Source organism: Homo sapiens, chromosome 16 (genome assembly GCF_000001405.40).
Source record: "Homo sapiens chromosome 16, GRCh38.p14 Primary Assembly".
Taxonomy (NCBI): Eukaryota; Metazoa; Chordata; class Mammalia; order Primates; family Hominidae; genus Homo; species Homo sapiens.
In genome coordinates, this window is record NC_000016.10 from 21,440,619 (window position 1) to 21,464,469 (window position 23,851).

Here is a 23,851-nt window from a genome sequence, read left to right on the forward strand (position 1 = left end):
CAGGTGAAATAAACAGCCATGTTGCTCACACAAAGCCTGTTTGGTGGTCTCTTCACACGGACGCGCATGAAACACACGACTGCACTTCAGGCTGGGCGACAGAGCTAGATTCCATCTCAAAAAAAATAAAATAAAAAGGAGTCACCTCCCCCGAGAGGCCTCTGGACCACCCCATCTGAGCAGGCCACTCTTCCTTCTCTATCTTACCATCTTGTTTCTGTCCCAGTAGTTAGGGCTACCTCCAGTAATCCTATTTGTCCCTTTACTGTTTAGTGCGTCTCGCTTGACTAGAAGCTCCATGAAAGCAAGAGACCCTACCTGCCTCCTTCGCCACTAGACCCCCAGGGCCTGGTATGTGGTGATCGCTCAGGGCCCATTTTCTTCCTTTCCTCCTCCTCCAAGGGTGGGGAAAGAGCATCAGAAGGTCTAGGTGGCCCCAGGCCCAAACAATGCTCCTTTAAAAGGAAACTAGATTGTTACAAAGGTCAGAGGCTGAAAAGTTATTTCCGCCTTTTATCCCTCTAAATTCTTCACTTCCTGAAAAAACAAACAAACAAAAAAGCCACTGAGGGCCCTTGGACTAAATCCAGGCCTGAGTTGCTGGGCAGAGGTCAGTCTTGTCCAGACATGGGAAAAAAATAACTCGAGTCAGACAGGTGGGTCACCACAGAACTAATCCAGCCTGCAAATGGCCTGTGCAATCTTCAGCTCTGTCCAGACCTGCCTCCCTCTGGGGATGCCTTTAAAGGTGATGAATGATCTGGATGAATGGGCTTAGAAGATAAGAGGGAAAAACAAATATCACAGGTCAAATCGTTATTTGTCTTCAAGTTTAACACCGTCTACTGGACTAAAAGATGTCCAAAGAATAGTTGTTCAACTATGTAAATTCCTTTTTTTTTTTTTTTTGAGACAGAGTCTCGCTCTGTTGCCCAGGCTGCAGTGCAATGGTATGATCTTGGCTCACTGCAAGCAACCTCTGATTTTAGTATTATTAGTAGAGACAGGGTTTCACCATGTTGACCAGGCTGGTCTCGAACTCCTGACCTCAGGTGATCCACCTGCCTCGGCATCCCAGAGTGCTGGGATTACAGGCGTGAGCCACCGTGCCCGGCCAACTACATAAATTCCTAACAACGTATCTCCAGAAAGTATAGGCACAACAGCACATGCAGTCATTCCTGTAATTAAGTGCTCCGGGAGGCCAAGGCAAGAAGATCCCTTGAGCCCAGGAGTTTGAGACCAGCCTGGACAACATAGCAAGACTGTGTCTCTACAAAATATACAAAAATTGGGCTGGGGATGGTGGCTCACGCCTGTAGGCCCAGCACTTTGGGAGACCAAGGCAGGAAGATCGATTGAACTCAGGAGCTCGGGACCAGCCTGGACAACATAACGAGACCCAGTCTCTACTAAAACTCAAGAAAATTAGCCAGACGTGGTTGCATGTGCCTGTAGTCCCAGCACTTTGGGAGGCCAAGGTGGGTGGATCACCTGAGGTCAGGAGGTCGAGACCAGCCTGGCCAACATGGTGAAGTCTCATCCCTACTAAAAATACAAAAATTAGCCAGGCACGGTGGCACACACCTGTAGTCCCAGCTACTTGGGAGGCTGAGGCAGGAGAATGGATTGAACCCGGGAGGCAGAGGTTGCAGTGAGCCGAGATGGCACCATTGCACTCCAGCCTGGGCAACAGAACAAGACTCCATCAAAAAAAAAAAAAAGAAAAGAAAGAAGAGAAGAAAATTAGCCAGGTGTGGTTGCATGCACCTGTAGTCCCAGCACTTTGGGAGGCCAAGGCAGGAGGATCAATCAAGGCTAGGAGATTGAGACTGCAGAAGGAAACCCTGTCTCTAAAAACAAGGTCCAGCTAAAATCAGGGTCCAGCTCCACCACAAGCGCAGCTCCAGGGGCTGTTGAGTTTTGCCTCTACCATTCCAAGTAGTCTCTGCTCCAGACCAAGTCCCACCATCTGGCAGTCATGTCAGTCCAACCACAGTCATATCAGGGCACTTCCAGTCATTGAGTGCCCCTTGAGGAGGCTGGAGGAGAGGCCAATGACATTTGCACTTGAGACTCCAGAGTCTAGATTTATAACCACTATGTTACGGCTGCCAGTGTGGCTGCAAGGACACTTCTTTCATTCATTCATTTACAATAGATGTAGCATCTGCTGTGTGCCAGATGCCATTCTAGGTTCTAGGGAAACAAGGCAGAGCCCCTGTTTTCCAAGGCATCCACATTCTAGGAAAGACTGCTACCAGCCTGGCGTGGTGGCTCATGCCTGTAATCCCAGTACTTTGGGAGGCCGAGGTGGGCGGATCACTTGATGTCAGGAGTTCAAGACCAGCCAACATAGTGAAACCCCGTTTCTACTAAAAGTACAAAAATCAGCTGGGCATGGTGGCACGTGCCTGTAGTCCCAGCTACTCAGGAAGCTAAGGCAGGAGAATCGCTTGAACCTGGGAGGCAGAGGTTCTGGTGAGCCGAGATCATGCTACTGCACTCCAGCCTGGGCAACAGAGTGAGACTCCATCAAAAAATAATAATGATAATAAAATAAAGACTGCTACTAAACAATAAAATAACCAAACCAGATAGATGACTTCAGGTGGTGGTAAGAGCTTTGAAAGAATAAGCAAGGTAACTAACTGGTCAGAGGAAGGGAGATGGGTGCATTCCCTCAGATAGACCGCCCCAGAGGTCTGCCTCTCTGACATGACATTTGAGCAGAGACCCAACAGGAAAAGGAAGAGGCTGCTCTATGGCCGGGTACGGTGGCTCACACCTGTAATCCCAGCACTTTGGGAGGCCCAGGCGGGCGGATCACGAGGTCAGGAGATCGAGACCATCCTGGCTAAGACGGTGAAACCGTCTCTACTAAAAATACAAAAAAATTAGCCGGGCGTGGTGGCGGATGCCTGTAGTCCCAGCTACTCGGAAGGCTGAGGCAGGAGAATGGCATGAACCTGGGAGACGGAGCTTGCAGTGAGCCGAGATCGCGCCACTGCACTTCAGCCTGGGCGACAGAGTGAGACTCCATCTCAAAGAACAAAAAAAAAAAGAACCAAGAGGTGTCCAGGCGAAGAGAACAGCAGATGCAAAGGCCCTGTGGCAGAAACAATCTTGGTATGCTGGAGGAATAGGAAGGCAGCCAGTGCAGCTGGAGCAGGATAGGTTAAGGGAGGATCAAGGTGATGAGGGCCTGGAAAGAGGGGCTGGGGTCGAATCACCAGATCCTGTTGGTTGCAATGGAAGAGCCTGGAGTTTATTCTCAGAGCAGTGAGAAGCCACTGGAAAGTTGTTTTTTTGTTTTTCTGTTTTTGAGACAGAGTCTAGCTCTGTCACCCAGGCAGACTGCAGTGGTGCAATCTTGGCTCACTGTAACCTCTGCCTCCCAGGTTCAAGCGATTCTCCTGCCTCAGGCTCCCCAGTAGCTGGGATTACAGGCACATGCCACCACACCCATCTAATTTTTCTTTTTCTTTTTTTTTTTTTTTTTGAGACAGAGTCTCTGTCACCCAGGCTGGAGTGCAGTGGCGCAATCTCAGCTCACTGCAACCTCCACCTCCCTGGTTCAAGCGATTCTCCTGCCTCAGCCTCCCGAGTAGCTGGGACTACAGGTGCATGCCACCATACCTGGGTTAATTTTTTGTGTTTTTAGTAGAGACAAGATTTCACCACGTTAGCCAGGATGGTCTCGATTTCCTGACCTCGTGATCTGCCCACCACGGCCTCCCAAAGTGCTGGGATTACAGGCGTGAGCCACCGTGCCTGGCCAGCCACCGGAAAGTTTTATGTAAGCAGGGGAGTGATCTGTTTTATCATTTAGAAGGATACACACCTCTTCTTCTTTTTTTAGAGACAGGGTCTAGTTCTGTCACCCAGGCTGGAGCCCAGTGGCACAATCATAGCTTACTGTAACCTCAAACTCCTGGGCTCAAGTGATCCTCCTGCCTCAGCATCCCAAAGTGCTGGATTACAGGCATGAGTCACCATGCCTGGTCACACTTCTCATTCTTTAAACCAGACCTCATTTGTCCATCTCCCCCATCCCCCGCCCCACCCCACGGACTGTCCTATAATGCCCATACAACAGGTCACTGTTTAGAAAGTGCTACAAAGTTACAAACACAGTCCCTTCTGAGCCTCCCACCAATGTTGGTGGGTACAAGGTCAAAAAAAAAAATCTCATCTATCTAAGGGGCATAGGAGACTTTTTAGTTAGAGGGCCCAATTATAGTCCTCCTGAAAAGATGCCAAAAGTCCCCTTCAACACTTAGCAAAGATTCAAGAAAGATGAATCTCACATTCTTTGTATGGGAAATGAGGAACTTGACATCTTCAATATAATGGATTCCACTAAAATAAGATGACGATCAATAGGAACCAACTAAAAAAATACTTGACTAGCTGTTATTGAAAGGCTGAAATTCAGCTGACATAAGCAGTATTAATATTGAGCTAGAAAATAATTCGCATTGAATTCAGCCCAACTTTTGTTTTCTGATTTGGGTCTCTTCTAAATTTTTTTTTTCTTCTGGACATTGAGAACAATCCAATTTGAAGGCCTCAATGCCCAAATCTACACTCTTGTTTTATTCTATATCCTTGGTTTCTTCTTTTTTTTTGAGATGGAGTCTCATTCTGTCGCCCAGGCTGGAGTGCAGTGGCGTGATCTTGGCTCAATGCAAGATCCGCCTCCCGGGTTCATGCCATTCTCCTGCTGCAGCCTCCCGAGTAATTGGGACTACAGATGCCCGCCCCCACGCCCGGCTAATTTTTTTGTATTTTTAGTAGAGACGGGGTTTCTCCGTGTTATCCAGGATGGTCTCGATCTCCTGACCTCGTGATCCACCTGCCTCAGCATCTCAAAGTGCTGGGATTACAGGCGTTAGCCACCGTGCCCGGCCCACACCTAGGTGATTTTTAAAGTTCTTCTAGTAGAGACAGGGTCTCACTATGTCGGGTCGCCGTGTTTGATGTCAGTTTTCCCTGCCAGAATCTACAATCTCCTTGATCACCATTATATCCCAACGAAGAGCTCAGTACCTGGTACAAAGCACATTTGATCAATACTTGCTGAATAAAGAAATAAAAATGAAGAGGCACTCCAGCCTGGGCAACAGAGTGAGATGGTCTCAAAAAAACAAAAACAAAAACAAAAAACGACTGGAAAGGAGATGAGGGTACTTGTGAAGCCATATTATATGACACGCTCTGTGCTAGGACTTTTATATACCTTGTCTCATCTCTTCATCTCATATAATCCTTACAAGGATCTCAAAAGTGGGGAAATCCCCATATAACTGAAGACGAAGGCAGTTCAGAAGTTCACTGATTTGCCCTAAGGTTCCTCAATTTGCAAACGTCAGGCCAATGATCCAACCCCAGGTATGTTTGGCAGTGAAGGACCAGTTGAGTCACAGCTGCAAGTAACCACCCTGCAGTGGTCCCTATCTTGGCCGTTAGCTTACATTGACATTTAACACTCAAATTTACTCAGTAACACCAGCTATCATGTTTTCCACTAAAACTCCACAGCATTCTGGCAACTTTTCTATTTTAGAGCAATAAAGTAAATTGTTAGCATCCCTTTGACATATAAATATTTCTACAAATAGTAATTCTCTAGCCATTCATTTGGAGTATTTAAAACTCAACATTCATAGCACATTTTATGTGACAAAGAACTTATGTTCAGAACACAAAAATAAGTCGTACGTCTTCATTAAAAACAGGTGAAGAATTTGAACAAACATTTGCAAACTAAAATACAAATGAAATACACTCAACATCATTAAACAAGAAAATAAAATTATGAGATAATCACTAATAATCACTACATATGCACCACAGTGATTAAAATTTTTTTAAGTTAAGCCACGTGACCCAACAAGGTGCATTCACTCAAGAGAAACGCAAATATATGTCCACTCAAAGACTTGCACATGAATGTTGAGAGCAGGTTTATACTGAATAGCGCAATGTGAAAAAACCCCAAAATCTAGCAAAGGATGAAGGGAGAAATAAACTGTGGTATATACATACAATAGAACACTACTCAATAATAAAAAGGATTATATTCCTGATACATGCAATATGGGTGAACCGTAAAAATATCATGCTGAGCAAGAGAAGCCAAACACAAGAGAACATGTTGTTATGATTTCACGTACATGAAACTTTAGTAAAGACAAGTCTAATCCATAGTGACAGAAAGCAAATCAGTAACTGCTGACAGGGGCAAATGAGGAGATGATCCCAAGGGAACCTTCTGGGGTAAGACGCTGTTCTCTATCTCGATCGTATTGGTGGTCACACAAGTGAAGACATGTTAGAACTCATCAAACCATACACTTAGAATGTGTAATATAAACCTCAATAAAGCAAAATTTAAAAAAAAAAAACCACCTTTAATTTTCTCTTACAAAAAAAAAAAAAGGAAAACCACTTAACTTTAATTTTCTCCAACAACTGATTCTGGTACACAGTATACCTTAATGCCTGCATCCACGGCCTCACGTCATGCTGTTTACATGAACGTAAAGCTTCGCCGAAGAGTGGAATAAGACAGTCCTGCCAGAGAAAAACCAAAATTACTCAACGTAAAACAGGCTGTTGATATGTTTGCAGATATATAGCAAGTCTTAAGTCCAAGACTGCAATATAGTTTGGCTACTTCAGATTGATTGCAGTAGTTTTATCTATTACACTATACCCTTACATCATTTATCTTCTACTCACAAGAGGCAAGCACACAGTAAGAGAAAGCCTTTTGTTTTGAAGGGAAATCTTCTTCAGAATATTAAGTCTAATTTATCAATATACTTAATAAAGCACATTACAAAAAAAAAAGTCACAGCACATTTACTATAAAGCAGACTGCAGAAAAACATTACAACTAATGCTTTATTATGAAGTTCTCGAAGATCACCATTCATTCAGAAGCCCCCATCTCTGGTCGAACTTTACCCCATTTAGGATGAAGAGGAGAGATCTTTGTTTGCAGCAAATCTAAAATTTACGTGATCTGCCTAAAGGAACTGTCTTTACATACACCACCTCCCACCCCAAAAATAGAAGAAAAAACTGAGCAATTTGCCATCCTTGCGATTATCTCAGGTTCTTCCATCTGCCCCATGTACTTCCCAAATGAAAGACTGCCTGAAAACAGCATGTTAGATTTCTGGATTTACCAGCTTGCCCAACTACAAATCCTATTCCAAAAAACTCAAAAAATAAGGTCTTTGTTCTACAGTAATGACCATTAATAGTCATAAGAGTGTGCTTGTAAAAATATACAGACCTCTGTTGAAAGTCTGTTAGAAACTGTGGTCTCCAAAGCAGACGAGCAATACAGCTGCAAGGTACTTAGAACTGGCAAAGACTGTGAAACTGTTAAAGTAGAAAGTCTCAGAGGTCCAATAGCGATGCGGGATGTTTGCTTCAAGTACTTTACCACATTTCTGAAACAAAATATTTACTGTCAATTAATAAAAATTACAATTCATAACCACTCAAAGAATAAAGCAATTGATAAGATGCTATCAAATTGACATCCAAAGTTAGGGGGCAGTAAGAGGAGCAGCCTGCTCTATAATAAAATGGTATCAGCAAGTCAAGACATTTGCTTTTGGGGATTTTTACATTTTATTTCATTTCAACCTCAGTTTTTGTTGGCAAGCAGCATTCATATATCATATGACTTCTACAACTAAAATGAAGCTATTAGCACTAGTATTTAGTAATCTAGTAACTCTCCTTCCAGCCCTCTTCACCCCATGTATGTTTATCACATGATATACACAATGTACATTTACCTCCGTAAGAGTAAACTTACTCAGTTATAGACTGCCACTTCTGATCTTGTTCTATCGGGTTTAAAGCAGTTGCCAAACAAACAGAACTTCTTAACAATGGAACTTCAATGGATTTCTGAGGTTCCCTTGGATCTGGACTTCACATGTTACGAAGCAGTTTTTTCATGTCTACAGAAGTTAAATGAAATGTCATTAAGTTAATGTGCTTTTATTATAAATTTTGATTTATGTTTGGCATTATTAAAAACTAATCACCAATGAACAGCTCCTTTAATATTTCAGGCAGTTAAACACTATAAGCATTACTGAGAGCTATATAAAAATCATACTTCATACAAAATTACTGTACCTCAGACCCCTAAAAAGCAGTTGCCTTCAAAGGCTCAAAAATCAGTAAGTCGAGGTCAGGCGTGGTGGCTCACGCCTGTAATCCCGGCACTTTGGGAGGCCAAGGTGGGTGGATCACGAAGTCAGGAGTTCAAGACCAGCCTGGCCACGATGATGAAACCCCGTCTCTACTAAAAATACAAAAAATTAGCTGGGCACGGTGGCAGACACCTGTAATCCCAGCTACTCAGGAGGCTGAGGCAGGAGAATCGCTTGAACTCAGAGGGCGGCGGAGGTTGCAGTGAGCCGAAATCGCGCCACTGCACTCCAGCCTGGGCAACAGAGTGAGACTCTGTCTCAACAAAAAAGAAAATCGGTAAGTCAATCTACTATTTAAGGGGACAAATCTAGACCTGCATTAGCAAATCTTGCTCAATCCAGAATACTCATTAAACTTTTTAATAACATCTTATCAAGTGTTCCATTTGTGATAAAGAACTTAATTAACGAGCCACATCAAGATGAAAATCAAGAAAAATATTTAGCTGAAACACTACTTTGTCCTTTATCAAACAAAATGGCTAGATAAATCTCAAAGTATTAAGGTGGTCATTTTTTTTATTTGACTTAATTTTAAGTGCTTTTCATTTCCCAAATCAAACATAAATAGGGCAGCCCTAAATTTGTTGCTTCACATGGGATTCTGCCCCCACAAAAATGTAAAATAACTTCCAGATTTTCCAGTAAAATATACTAAGCCAAACATTTTGAGCAACTTGTCCACTAAAATAACTTTAAAACTATTTTCTCAAATACCTACCTATTTTTTCTTTTGATCCTCCAGCAAGTAGATTGATATTTTCTCCTGGTAACAATTCTAATTGCTCGGTACATTCGACAAATTTTCCAGACTCAAAGCTGCTTAATGATCTGTAATTAAAATATTGGTTAGCTTGTATTCCTATGCAGCCTGTGGAACCATTAAAAAAAACAAACAAACAAAAACAGAACAAATCCTAGGAAGACAGCAAAGTACACAGCACTTTTCTGACAAAATTCCTTCCACGAGGATGCCATTATTTTGGTTTTTATGTTGAAGATGTGACTACCACTTAATTAGTACTCAAATTGGAGTGGCAAACCAGAAAGTCACAGCTACAGACTTTCAGTGGAGCTGACTCGCCCCTGTGTCTCCTTCCTGTTTTCATGTGTTGCAGCCTGTTCTCTTCAGAGCCTGACACACTGACAGTAGACCTCTGCAGGACAACTTTGACACCCAGTTCTCTCCAAGCTGCCAGTGAGCTCCCTGTGCAGCCTCACTCCTCACCTACAGCATGAGCCCTTGCACAGCTCTCCCAGCATCACAATCTTGTATCTCAGTCCTGGCTTCTTTCACTGCTGGCATCCCTCCGTCTCTCCCTTTTTCACCTACTTTTCTTTTTTCAAAGAATTCTTCTCTTTCATCTGCTTATATGAAAAATAATGACACCTCTGAAATTCTTTCCTGTAGTTCTGCAGCATCAATGCCAGGAAGACAGGCCTCATCCTCCCAGCTTCTATGCTGCTCCTTTCAGATCCCTTACCCTGTCCCCATTTTCATGACACGGGCTCTCCAGCCAGGAAGAAGACACTGTTTCTCACTCTCTCTCTTTTCCATCTTTGCCTGTCCCTCTCGCTGTGTAACTTCCCTTATAACTCAGCCTGAGGCCAGTGCTAGAAAGGCACATCACCTGACTTATTCTGTGCCTGATTCTACCTAGATCAGTGCAACCACTGGCTTCTCAGGGGGACCCTTGAGTACTGGGCACTGATGAACTGCTGCCAACACAGTCATCATTTCTGCCATTAAAAGGTCCTAAGTCCTCTCCAGTGGCAGGTTCCCCAAGTCCCCACTATGCTCTATAATGCCCTATGCTTTCAGCTAATGACTCAGTCCTCAGAAAAAACAAACAAATAAACAAAAAAACACAGGCTTTAATTTCCTCTACCCCTACCCCCAATCCACCATACACTGCCGAAATTCTGTCTATACCAACTTTGACTGCTTTCCTTGAGGCAGAGAAAAGGTGAGGGCCAGTTAATCTATCAATGTTCTTTCTCCTGTTTCTTCAACCTCTGCTTTCTAGTGGCTCCTTCCCCTTGGCCAAAAGAACATAATCTCTCCAACATTTAAAATAAACATCTCATATTTCCCTCCAGCAACAGCTTCCTATCCTCGACTTCAAGAAAAACTCACTGACCAAATAACTTACCTCAAGCTTTTCATTTTCAAATGTCTCTACCACTCAATACTATTCAATCTAGCTTCTTCTGTCTCTCTACAAAACTCTTTTTCCTTATAATCCCTAGAGCATCTGACAAGGCTGACTACTCCCATCTGGATGTCCTATATCTAGGGCACTTCCCTTCTCAATGTCCCTGTATTTTTTTGAATGGCTTCCTCTTCTATCCTTTCACAAAAATGCTAAACTAGGATTCTGACCCAGGCCTTCCTTCCTCTTCACTCACTATTCTCCAGAGGCTTCTCTCTGGTTTGGTTGCTTACAAAGGCTCTAGAGTATAGAGACTGAAAAGGAAAGAGGGCCTTTTCTGTGTACTAATCATCTGCAAATCTCTCAAGCTTAGACTGTCTCCTTAGTTCAAAATCCAATTCTTAACAGCTTACCCAACAATCTCATCTGCACATTTCATTAGAAATCTTAAAACATGGCTTGTTCTCTGTGTGCTCCTACTCCAGTTAATAGCATTGTTTCTCTTCCCTCTACCATTGCCCCCATAAATTAATGGTCTCCATGCTTCCATACTTGCCCCGCACCTCCAGTCTCTTCACCACAGCAGAATGAACCAAGTCAGATCACAACACAACTCTGTTCAAATCCCACCTGAAATTTTCAGTCTTACTAGAATAACAGCCAAAGTTCTTTTCTCAGTTCCCAGCTACTTCTCTGCCCTTATATCCTACTGTTTAAGGCGCTCCTAAACACACAGGCCTCCCAGCTATTTCCAGAACACTCCAAGCCCATCATTCTCACATCAGGTCTAGGCCCAAAGGGCATCCTGATGGGCATGTCTTGACCTTGTGTCTTCCCTCCAAAGAAGGTCAGCTTTACCTAACTGCTTTCCTTATGGCACAGAAAAGGTGAGTGAGGTCCAATTAGTCCTTCTATCAATAATCTTTATCTAATCTTTGCTTTAAAAGGTTGGAATTTGTGTCTGTTTTATGTGCTGCCTGGGTCACAGCACATGCTCAGTGAAGCAATTACACATTAACCCATTTAGCAGTAGAAGGCAAGGGTATCAGACAAAGTCTAATGACCTTTATCTTCCCAGCCAAGTGTCTGCAACAGAGTGAGTGCTCAGTTTTGAATTACAGAATTAATAAAAGCACAGAGGAATGAGAAGAAAGTTTAATTTACAGATGTTCACAAACTCTGTCCTCATTAGAATAAATGTTTTTGATATATTCAGACCTCATTTCGAAACAAAGCCATCAAATGTGATTCTTTCTAAAGCAGTACAAATTTTTCTTTATATTCACTCTGGCATAATCTTCAAACTGTATTAAGGTTTTAGAACGACAGGTTCTGAAAATTAATACCAAATGACTATCTCAGCAGTGTTTTCCCATTATACAAATACCTTCCCTCATCTCTGATGTCAGTTTCCTGTTGTCATTTTCATAATGGCAGTAAGTTAGAAATATAACCATTTTGAGTATTACTGCATATGACCAATTTTAATATTTTTTTTGCCATAGGAAAAACATCATAGTTATTGGAAATTTGTTTTATAACTGGAAACAGAAAGCCTTACTTTATATAGTTGAAGTCAGCTTTCAGGTTGAGGGAAGTGCTACTGGTACTCTTTTTCAAGTCATGGATAGCGTTCTGCCATTCCTGCACAGCAGCCCAATCGGCAGTTGAGATGTAGCACTCACATGCTTTGTTTCCTAAATAATTTATAACCTCAGGGGAAGAGTCAGTCGGTTTGGACAGCACACTTTTTCTGGATTCACCTGAAAGTATTTTATAAAATAAGAAGAGAGAGATTCAGATCAATTAGAAATATTTCAAAGAGCACAGAAACCTAAAAACATGATAAGATCATCAGTACGAAATATATTACTATAACTTTTGCTTTATTTAAAAATGCTGAACGCTCACCATTCAGACAATGTTTCAGGCTGGCACTCTTACACCCAGCACTGGCTAAGGTGAGCACCGATTTGTCAAAGCTGGAGATGCAGCAATCAACACCTGTCATGGCACACAGGTGTTCCTGGTACTCCACAGAGGCCTTTTCAAACCTGAAAAGCAAATTGAAGCAGTCTTATTTCTTTATTTATCTAACTACTTACTTTTTTTTTTGAGATGAAGTTTTGCTCTTCTTGCCCAGGCTGGAGTGCAATGGCACTGTCTCAGCTCAGTGCAACCTCTGCCTCCCGTGTACAAGCGATTCTCCTGCCTCAGCCTCCTGAGTAGCTGGGATTACAGGCACTCGCCACCATGCCCGGCTAATTTTCTTGTATTTTTAGTAGAGACGGGGTTTCACCATGTTGGCCAGGCTGGTCTTGAACTCCTGACCTCAGGTGATCCGCCTGCCTCGGCCTCCCAAAGTGCTGGGAATACAGATGTAAGCCACCGAACCCAGCCTACCTAACATGGCAAATTTTGTTTTTTTAAATATTGAGTGGGAAAAACAGATCATAAAACCATGTGCCTATGTACGCTGATGTTTTGGTGAAGAATGGAGAAAACGACATGAAAGAAAAAAGAATTACAAAGCGTATGGATATGGAAATATGGGACTACAAAAGGACACACAACAGAAGTTACTACAAAGATATGGAAGTATGAGCAGTTCTTTTATTTTCCTAAGTTCGCAAGATTTCATTAAACTAACATAAATGGACACAGAATATTATGGTACAAGCTCCTCTACCCGGAGGAAGCAATGAGTCTGAATGTAGAGTTCACAGGACTAACGAGCAAATACTCTGACAATAAAGGGTAATTTGTATCAGACTCTGAGGGGGAAGGAGCTCAACTAGGGATCAAGTTCAAAAGCATTTATAAAACAACTGACAGGTCTTGTTTTACAGTGTGATTTGCCACTAATTCTTAAATAAGAAAGGCACTCCAGTATTGCTGCTAACTGAAGAACAAACTGAAGATGCCTCCTGGTGAAGGGATTTATAGCAAGCTTCAATGCTGAAAGCAAACAAAGCTGTTTTAAGATTTGGCTACAATGTCAGTGAGTAATACAAAGAACTTAAACATAAAGTAATTCTATCACCCATTTCCTTCCCTCCAACCTACCTCCCTTCAGCCTGTTGAGCCACTGAGTTAATCCACAGAAGATGTTTTCCAACAATAGATGATGACCAGACAGCAATTCCCTGTATAGCTTCAGGACAATGAAGTTCACATAGTGCTTCTACCACCATCATAATGCTTACTTCCAATTCATTCCCCTGAAAACGCATTCAGAAAAGTTAGTCACCCAATACCATTAAAACATAAATCCCTATAAAATTTACAACTGATCACAGTCTGTGCCTGCTTAAAGCCAAATGTATTTAACAATTATTGTCACAATTTTCACATTATTTAGCTCAGAATTCTTTAAAATGTTACATATAAAATAGCCACAAAGGGTGACTAACAGAACCTTAGCAGCACATGGATGTTTGTACCCCCACCCCAAAGTTACCCAAAAACATTTAACCTGTGACCTCTGTAGGAATAACACATGGAGTAAAAAGAAAGCAAAAATGAAATATAAATAAACAGGAATTAAGGAATGATTAACTTCATGTGTTTGAATACTGCTTGACATTACCTGAATTGCTAAACATTTTGTTATTTTTGGATTCCAGTTATTTATTGTGAGCCCACTTTCAATCCAGGAATTACTCAAGCATTTGTCATACGTTATAAAAACAATTTCTCCTGGCCAGGTGCAATGGCTCATGCCTGTAATCCCAGCACTTTGGAAGGCCGAGGTGGGCGGATCACTTGTGGTCAGGAGTTCGAGACCAGCCTGGCCAACATGGTGAAACCCTGTCTCTACTAAAAATACAAAACTTAGCCGGGTATGGTGGTGGGTGCCTGTAATCCCAGGGACTGAGGCAAGAAGAGGCTTGAACCCGAGAGGCGGAGCTTACAGTGAGCCGAGATCGCACAACTGCACTCCAGCCTGGGCGACAGAGTGAAACTGTGTCTCAAAAAAATAAATAAATAAATAAAAATTTTCCCCCATAAACAAATTTTCAGAATTACCTTTAAAGTTCTAAACTTTGCACGGAAGAAATAGAGTTTTAACGTGTTCTAACATGAATATTGTTTTAACATGAACAAAAACATGAACATTATTTTGACTTCTAACACTGTTTTAACACGAATAAAATAGGTAACTCTGGCAGTTGTTGCTTTTACAAAATACAGGATCAAAACCTTTGAAAATGAATCCAAGCTTTAACTTATTTTATCCATAGATTAAATCATACCAAAGGAATTAAACCATGTTTTTCTTATTAACAGACTTAAAATGAATTTCAAACACACCACTTTACCTGAGATAGGCTGGTTGTTTTCATCTCTGTAAGCAAGTCAAAGCCATGTCTCACTGTCACTGCAGGCTGGCCTGCCAACAATCCTACCCTCATGATGGAGAGTCGAATCCGCGTTAGCCAGTCCTGACAAGTTTGGCGATTGGTATACAAAAAAGTTCTAATGACCTTTACGATAAGAGAAAGAAAAGCTCAGGACTGGTTCAATTTGTAGGTAAGGATGTCTCACCTATATATAAACCAAATACACAAGTCTATTGTGATTTCAGCTCTGCACATACTGCCAGCTGTGACCATTAAACTGCTATAAAACAACACTATCTCCCGGAAACCAACCTTGGGAGGTGAAGTTAAGGCATTAGCACATCCCTCGTATGCATTATACATTAATTTCTCCAGATTTTCCAGATACTGCAGAAGAAGAACAAGTCTAAGTTGGTTGTTACCATGGCCTTCATCACTGTCTGCAGTTGTCCACTGACTAACATCCTGATCAGGGTTTAATGTGTGACCTGCGAGACTTCGAATGATACCTGAAAGCAAAGACAACATTCTGAATTTTTAAAAATCTTAAAAGTTCCTAGAATAAGTGTGAGTTTTTTATGACCAATTCACATTTATCAAGTATCCTCTGTCTACCCATCATTTAAAAATAAAAAATCCCAACATGAAAGATCTTTCATTTTAGGGGAAAAAAATATATATTTTTTCCACACAACTCCCATAAGTTTTGGAAAAAAAACAAACATATTTCCAATGCAATTATTCAATGAAAGCTTATTCTAACAAACAAACCTGAAAATTATTGACTTTTTTCAAAAAAAATCATATACCCTCAAATCTTTAACAAAGATTTAAAAATCCATTATTTCTCAATAAGGCTTTGAAAGTATTCACATCATAAAGCTTGAGCGAGTTACCTTCAATTGTCTGGAAGGTGTCTTGAGCTCTGCCCAGTGGGGTTCTCAGCTTAGAAAGAACAGTGAATTGTGCAGCTTCCCATATGGCCCACTGCCAAAGGATAGCATCTGTCTTCAGGAGATTGCGTGGAATTGTTGACTGGTCACGCTTATCCAGTCTCTGGCAGCTATAGAACAGTCTTTCCAACCAATTGTCCTTCCTGGGAAAAGTAGTTTCATATTTAAAAGACAATGACAACTTCATTTTAATAATGAAAAAAAAATGCAAGGGGAATGGGAATAAGGAACTGTAATTTTCCCTACTCCAAAAAAAGGCAAAACCTATGAAATTGAGAAGCATTATGTCCCCCCCTCTCATTTTGAGGTCTTGTATAGTTAACAGGATGAGGTACAGTGTGGAAGGATGATTAGGGTAAACGGCTCATGCCAGTCAGGAATGAAACTCATTCAATGCAACTAAGCATCTCTAGAATATCTCCACCCCCACCCCACTCCCCAAAGTGTTAATGACATCACATCAGTTAACTGTTAACCACATTTCATTACTCAATTTCAAAGCCCATTTTTGTTTCTACAGATGCTATCTTCAAAGCAATTTTCCTATTGATGAAAACTGAAATAACCCATATGAGAAGAATGTTACTTGATACTCTGCCACCCCCAAACATATTTTCTCTTCAAAACTGCATGTAAAGTCAAGGGAATCTTAAAATTTTCTTTCCCAGATAAAATAGTCAAAGAAATGTCTTACCCTGTTCTATGAGAGTTCCCATACAAAATAAAACTAATAACATCAGAGAAATCTTGGGGGTGGAATGTATTACTTGGTGCTTTACTCATGTGACTTCTTAATGCTAAAGAAATTTCTTGAATTTCTGTGTGATTGTTATCGCTGTAGACAGAAAATAAAGTTGTTGTTATGCAAAATATTTTAGCTTAAAAGGTTAGCACATACTGTAAGTGGATTATTTACTTATTAACTCACTGGAGGTAAAAATATAGTAAAATTGAGACTTTCAAATGGATACAGAGATGTGATTACAACTTTAGATCCTTTTTTTATTCACCTCAGATGGGTCATGTGCCGACATCATAAGAGGATTTGAGGGAGGCATATCAAACATGTGAACATAAAAACCCAATCATTATGCTTATCTATTACAAAAGGATCAAGTTTAGGCTCTTAAAAGCTCCCAAATCAACTTGATCAAAAACAATAAAAGATTACTGTTTAGTTTTTCAAATATCTGAGCTACTAAGAAACATATTTTGGCACTACATGAGTTATTCTATACTAATTATTGTGAGCCTATAAAGCTCATTAAAAATTTTTAATTTTCTTGCAGACCTGCAAAATTTGGTTATTTGACATCACTTCAATCACTGACAAGCAGGGCCATAAAAGATGTGTCATTAATGCTCTAATAGGTGATCTGTCTTCTCCTAAAGTAGACAACCAGTAGAGGCTGTAAATATCACAGAACGTCTTTGCTTCAAAACAACTGTTATACCTTAGGAAAACACCTAAAGGAATTGATTTCAACAGTTTTCCAAATGCTTGTCGAATACAAGTTCCACGGTGCACTAGTTGGACACGGCAAACATCAACACATCTATGAAAGAACGAAATAGACAAAGCAGGTGTGTTAACAGTTCCAGGTTATTAGGGTTAATGTCAAAAGACATGATCTTAATTTCATACCTCTGTAAAAGATCATCTGGCAAGGAAGAGGATAGAGCATGTAGACTGCTGCATGCCTGCAGACAGATATTCACATCTTCAACGAGAGCTATTAAACATTAAAAGACAGTTACTTTCAGCTGGCCAAAAGAAATTATATCCCAGTTTGTCATAATTATCTGAATCCATTCATTCATTCAACAAAGAGTGAGTGCCTACTATAGACTAGGCACTGTTCTTGTCCAGAATCCTCATTGACTGTCACATTTGGAAAAATGACACATTCAACAAAACCCACGTAATGTAACTGATGGGTCATCACACAAAACTTTTTCTGAGAGAAAATGTAAAAGTATATGTAAACTATAAACATTCACGTTAGCTTAAAAATGTGACAATCACTTCAAAACATTTTTCTAATACTAAGAATGAAAAAAAATCAAGACTGTGTATCTGTCATTAAAATGAGGATTACACATCTTCAGGTCAGGAAAAGAGCTCGATTCATGACCATCTCCCATTACCAAAGACCCTTTTAAGGACTGATAAACAAAATAGAAAAAAAAAACCAGAGTCTTACTGTCGGCTAAAAGGCCTTTGCAAAATTTATGGAAAGACGGAAGACAGAATAAAGGTGCATATGTTTCGGACTTCTTCATTACAACAGCTACTTCCAAAGCCCAAGTCATTAACAGTTTCCTGAAACACAAAATATACAGTTGACTGTACATTAAAAAAAAAAAACAACAAAAACAAAAAAAAGTTAAAAGCCTAGTCTTCTTACATTGGTTTTCTCTTGGTTTTTCAAACATCTCAAACAATAAAAAATAAAAATAAAAAATGAAACTATAGAAATTACTGTCAAAATTGTTGTGTGCCTTTTAAGAAAACCTCCCAACGCAGCATGATAATAGCAAAGAGGCCGGGCGTGGTGGCTTACCTGAGGTCAGGAGTTCAAGACCAGCCTGGCCAACAACATGGTGAAACACCATCTCTACTAAAAATACAAAAATTATTGAGGAACTGCCAAACTGTTTTCCACATCAGCTGCACCATTTCACATTCCTATTGCTAACTTATAAAGATTTCAATTTCCCCATATCCTCAACAACACTTGTTATTTTCCATTTTTTAATAATAGTCATCATAGTAAGTGTGAAGTGATAGCTTGGAGTTTTAATTTGTATGTCTCCATTGACTAATGATGTTGACATCTTTTCAAGTGCTTATTGGCCATTTGTTTATCTTCTTTGGAGAAATGTTTATTCAAGCCTTTTGTCCATTGTAAGATGGACAAAAATGGTTGTCTTTTTGTTGTTTGTTTACAACCATTTTGTTTTAAAATGTTTTGTCTTTTTGTTGTTGAATTGTAGAAGTTTTTTATATACTTTGGGTATTAAACCTTAACATATATACAAAAAAAAAAAAAAAAAAAATACAAAAATTAGCCAGGTGTGGTGGCGGGCACCTGTAATCGCGGCTACTTGGGAGGCTGAGGCAGGAGAATTGCTTGAACCTGGGAGGCAGAGGTTACAGTGAGCAAAACTCCGTCTTAAAAAAAAAAAAGCAAAGAATATTAAAAATCTATATATATTCTTCTATGAAACACTGGGCGTGGGGGATTGAGGTTTTTCATGTATTTCTTTTCAGAAAGAATAAGAAAGCCTAGATTAAATAATAAAACCAAATTATAAGGTGTTTGACAATAAAGAAGCTGCTCTACCTCACCTCTATAATCCACATTTTTTTAAATTTTTTGTAATCCACATTTCTTCTTCTCAAATTATAAAGGCAAATTAACAAAGTTAGGAATGGTTAATACTATATAATATCTGTTACCTCGTGTCCTGGTTATCTTTCTTAAGTAACATTCCCAGAAGATTTAATATAATTGAGAAATGTTTCTTTGTGGCCATAGTTACAGTGCCAATCACAGCTCCATCAAACAAAGAAGGAGAGGAAGAACTGAGGCTACTAAAGATAAAGTGATCATGCCTGAAAGACAAAGCATAGATTATCTTTTCATCTTTAATCAAAGAAAGCAAGCAAGTCCAAAGTTAAATCAACATACATCTTCAAAATCTATCCATTAAAAAAATAAAATGTTTTGTGGGGTTCTTTTCTTAAGAAAAATTTGTGAATACAGTACCTGGTACAATGAGGATACAATGTGTAGAGCACAGCATACTGAATGGCAGGGAAGTGAACAGCCAGGTCACTGTGCACAATCATCAGATTCTTACTCAGAAGTGCAAAGACAGTTGGAGATAGCGCCCACATCTGATCATGTACAAAACAAAGTAAGTTTATGGCTTCTCCAAAATAAGCACAAGCATACAGAGTTTATCCTTCAAAACAGGGGTATTTGGACATTTTTAAATTAAAATTACAGATTGGAAGGGATCTAGTACACTACACCTGGGACAAATACTTTTTTGTGAAGTCAGTAAAGCCTTTGCGTGCAATATAGCATCTCTATGCAATGCAGCAACTCCTCGTCTATCGCTACAGTAAGAAAACAGCCACAGGTCAGGTGTTGTGGCTCACACCTGTAATCCTAGCACTTTGGGAGGCTAAGGTGGGCAGATCACTTGAGCCCAGGAGTTTGAAACCAGCCTGGGCAACACAGCGGGACCCCATCTCTACTAAAATTACAAAAAGTAGCTGGGCATGGTGGCGCACACTTGTAATCCCAGCTACTCGGGAGGCTGAGGCAGGAGAATCGCTTGAACCTGGGAGGCAGAGGTTGCAGTGACCCGAGATCATACCAATGCACTCCAGCCTAGATGACAAAGTTAAGACTCTCTCTCTCAAAACAAAACACCAGCCACACACAAAACACAGGAATGAGAGTACCTGTGTTCCAAGAAAACTTTCTTGAGTCGGAGTCTCTCGCTCTGTCGCCCAGGCTGGAGTGCAATGGGGCGATCTCAGCTCACTGCAACCTCTACCTCCGGGGTTCAAGCAATTCTCCCTGCCTCAGTCTCCCAAGTAGCTGAGATTACAGGTGCCCATCACCACGCCCTGCTAACTTTTGTATTTTTTTAGTAGAGATAGGGTTTCACCATGTTGGCCAGGCTGGTCTTGAACTCCTGAGCTTGGGTGATCTGCCTGTCTCAGTCTCCCGAGGGATTACAGGCGTGAACCACTGCGCCCAGCCCAACAAGAACTTTCTTTACAAAAACAGGCACTAGTGTTGTGATGGTTGTACACTTCTGTGAATATAGTAAAAATCAGTGAATTATACACTTAAAATAACAGACAAAAAACAGGTGCTGGGCTGTATTTGGCCCACAGACCATAGTTTGCTGATCTCTGGTCTAAACAGAGCCCTTTGTATGTGCCTTTTGCGGAAGTAGACTGTATTTCCTCAATTTTCCATATACTGCAAATGGCAAGGTGCCCTGTTCAATAAGGAAACAGAGGCACACCCTGCCACCCTACACCTTTTCCATCCATCTTTTTCCTTTACACTGCCAAGACACTCCACTCCACCTGACTGCCCCATCCCCACCCACTTTCTCCTTATTTCTAGAGTACAGGACATAAACATCTTTGAATCTGTAAATAATGTGAATAATTTTCCTCAAAAATCAAGCTTTCATGTTTGAAGAAGAGTTTATTGTGACTTCAAACATAAACTGTAACTGGTAATAAGCGAAGCAGCTATGGAATTATACAAGGCAATCCAATCAAACAACACGGAGCACATTGAAGCGCAAACATCAAATTTTACCTTCTTCCTCCTAAAAACTTTATTCCCTAATTACATCCATTTCTTTCTTTGTTTCTTTCTTTTTTTTTTTTTTTCTTTTGAGACAGAGTCTGGCTCTGTAGCCCAGGCTGGAGTGCGGTGGTGTGATCTCAGCTCACTGCAACCTCCACTTCCTGGGTTCAAGCAATTCTCCTACCTCACCCTCCAAAGTAGCTAGGATTACAGGTGTGCACCACCACCCCTGGCTAATTTTTCTATTTTTAGTAGAGGCGAGCTTTCACCATGTTGGCCAGGCTGGTCTCAAACTCCTGACCACAGGTGATCAGCCTGACTTGGCCTCCCAGAGTGCTGGGTTTACAGGTGTCAGCAACCGTGCCCAGCCTACACCTATTATTTTCTATTAAAAATGATGTTTTTCAACTCTGTGTGGTCCAATAGGAAGAAGAAATACACAAACCATAAACAATAAATACAAATCAAGAGCAGGGCCATGTCGAATTACTTAAAAAAAAAAAAACCACACGGGCTGGGCGCGGTGGCTCATGCCTGTAATTCCAGCACTTTGGGAGGCTGAGGCAGGTGGATCACCTGAGGTCAGGAGTTTGAGACCAGCCTGACCAACATGGTGAAACCAAGTCTCTACTAAAAATACAAAAATTAGCCCGTCGTAGTGGCAAGTGTCTGTAATCTTAGCTACTCGGGAGGCTGAGGCAGGAGAATTGCTGGAACCCGGGAGGCAGAGGTGGCAGTGAGCCGAGATTGCACCACTGCACTCCAGCCCAGTTGACAACAGCATGACTCTGTCTCCCCCCCAAAAAAAAAAAAAAAAAAAAAAAAAAAAAAAAAAAGTCCCCCCACCACCACCAAAAGGAAGACTACAGGTTCAGTATCCCTTATTCAAAATGCTTGGGACCAGAAGTGTTTCAGACTTTGTATATGTTTGGATTTGAGAATACTTGCATATATATAAAATGAGATATGTGGGGGATGGGACCCAAGTCTAAAGACGAAATTCACTTATGTTTCATAGACACCTTCTATTCATAGCCTGAAGGTCATTTTATGCAATATTTTAAATAATTTTGGGCATACAACAGTTTGGACTCATCACATGAGGTCGGGTGTGGGATTTTCCACTTGGGGCATCATACTGGTGCTCAAAAAGTTTCAAATTTTGGAGCATTTTAGATTTAGGATTTTCAGATTAGGGATGCTCACCAGTAAGTGTTATGAAAATATTCCAAACTCCGGCTGGGCATGGTGGTGCCCACCTGTAATCCCAGCATTTTGGGAGGCCAAGGCAGGTGGATCACCTGAGGTCAGGAGTTCACAACCAGCCTGGCTAACATGGTGAAAACCCATCTCTACTAAATACAAAAAAATTAGCCAGGGGTGGTGGTGCATGCCTGTAATCCGAGCTACCTGGGAGGCTGAAACAGGAGAATCGCTTGTACCCGGGAGGCGGAGGTTGCAGCGAGCCAAGATCGCGCCATTGCACTCCAGCCTGGGCAACAAGAGTAAAAACACTATCTCCAAAAAAAAAAAAAAAGTATTCCAAAATCCAAAATCGAAAACACTTCCAGTCCCAAGTATTTCAGATAAGGAATATTCAACCTGTATGAATGTTCCTAGGGAAAAACAGACAGCCAAAATATAAGACCATGTATAAGAACTAACTTCAGTACACAGAAAGAAAAAAGTACCAGGGGAAGAAGAAAGAGACCGCATTTTAAAACAACTATACAAATTTGAGCTGTAAGAAACACTGACATTTTCTGTAAGCATGCTAGAGCAAATAGGAGAAATTCATAAGACATTTTCTAGAAAATAAAACTAATATAAAAAAACTTATCAAGATTTGTCAAGGAAAAAGAAGAAAAGTTAAATATAATGGCAAGAAAACATTCCTACCAATTTTATTTATCCAGGCATGTCTTAAATATGGCTGTTTGTTACATACAGTGATTCTGCAGACATGTTGACATAACAGTGAAATACATAAATATGTAATGTGGATAAAACAAAGTCATTACAATTAAAGACTCACCCCTATTAGTGAGTTTTTGGCATTTCCAATTGTAGTCAAATTTAACTACAAATTTTGTAGTCAATTGAGGTCAAATTTAACTACAAATTTTGCATTGTCTACATTGAACACATGATTCTTAAAAGCCTCATGTTTTATTTCAGAACAGGACTCAGGAAGCTGCAGACTGTGCAGGAGGTTGTTTAGGGCACAAGTCATTTCTCCCAATATTAACTTATAGGCAGTCTCCAAAACAGGAATATTCTTCAAGCTGAGCACTGCTTGATAAACAGCACGGGCTACAGCAACAACCTGAAAAACAAAAAATTCAAGGAAGTGATAAATGGAAAATAAATCTTCTAAAATTATATGGAAAATAAATCACTATCTGTATTAGTGCTGATGATACAAATAAATTTAAGATCGATCAATTCACTGTCTGTAGCATTTAATATTTTAATTTTTTAAAAACCAATCAGAAAACTGACACAGATCAGTATGCTATTTCAAATCTATTAAGTTTTATCACAAATAAAGAGTACTATAAATGAAAACTGTCAATAGGAAATTTCCAAAATGGCCGTTTTTGTTTTTTTTTTTTAATAATCAACATCAAAAGACATATGCAAACAGCAGTTTAAGACTGGGTTTCTTAAATCTACCAGGAAAGTCTGTGGTGGATTTGACTAGGGGGTGGTTGAAAAGCCAGTCATTTTTGTTTACCAAATATACAGTACTTCTTAATTTATAACTTTATAAATGTGTCAACTTGTTTTACCCTTATGAAA

The 23,851-nt window shown here is 40.4% G+C and overlaps 1 non-coding gene and 1 pseudogene across 2 annotated transcripts in view; both read right to left on the bottom strand.

Annotated features, from left to right (window-relative positions):
• Positions 1-6,064: 6,064 nt before the first annotated feature.
• The window catches only part of SMG1P3 (SMG1 pseudogene 3), a 55,599-nt pseudogene continuing 37,812 nt past the window's right edge, over positions 6,065-23,851 (bottom strand). Inside the window, exons 13-29 of the transcript NR_027155.2 lie at positions 23,085-23,375; positions 19,472-19,602; positions 19,162-19,317; positions 17,903-18,021; positions 17,344-17,431; positions 17,153-17,254; positions 16,393-16,533; positions 15,642-15,841; positions 15,058-15,254; positions 14,725-14,889; positions 13,469-13,623; positions 12,314-12,456; positions 11,964-12,165; positions 8,971-9,080; positions 7,844-7,991; positions 7,310-7,469; positions 6,065-6,579 (exon numbers count right to left, since the gene is read on the bottom strand). The product of NR_027155.2 is annotated as an SMG1 pseudogene 3 (transcript). The remainder of the gene's footprint in view (positions 6,580-7,309; positions 7,470-7,843; positions 7,992-8,970; positions 9,081-11,963; positions 12,166-12,313; positions 12,457-13,468; positions 13,624-14,724; positions 14,890-15,057; positions 15,255-15,641; positions 15,842-16,392; positions 16,534-17,152; positions 17,255-17,343; positions 17,432-17,902; positions 18,022-19,161; positions 19,318-19,471; positions 19,603-23,084; positions 23,376-23,851) is intronic.
• Positions 16,708-16,811, bottom strand: LOC124903800 (small nucleolar RNA U13). The gene has a single exon (XR_007065245.1). It is a non-coding gene; the product is annotated as a small nucleolar RNA U13 (small nucleolar RNA).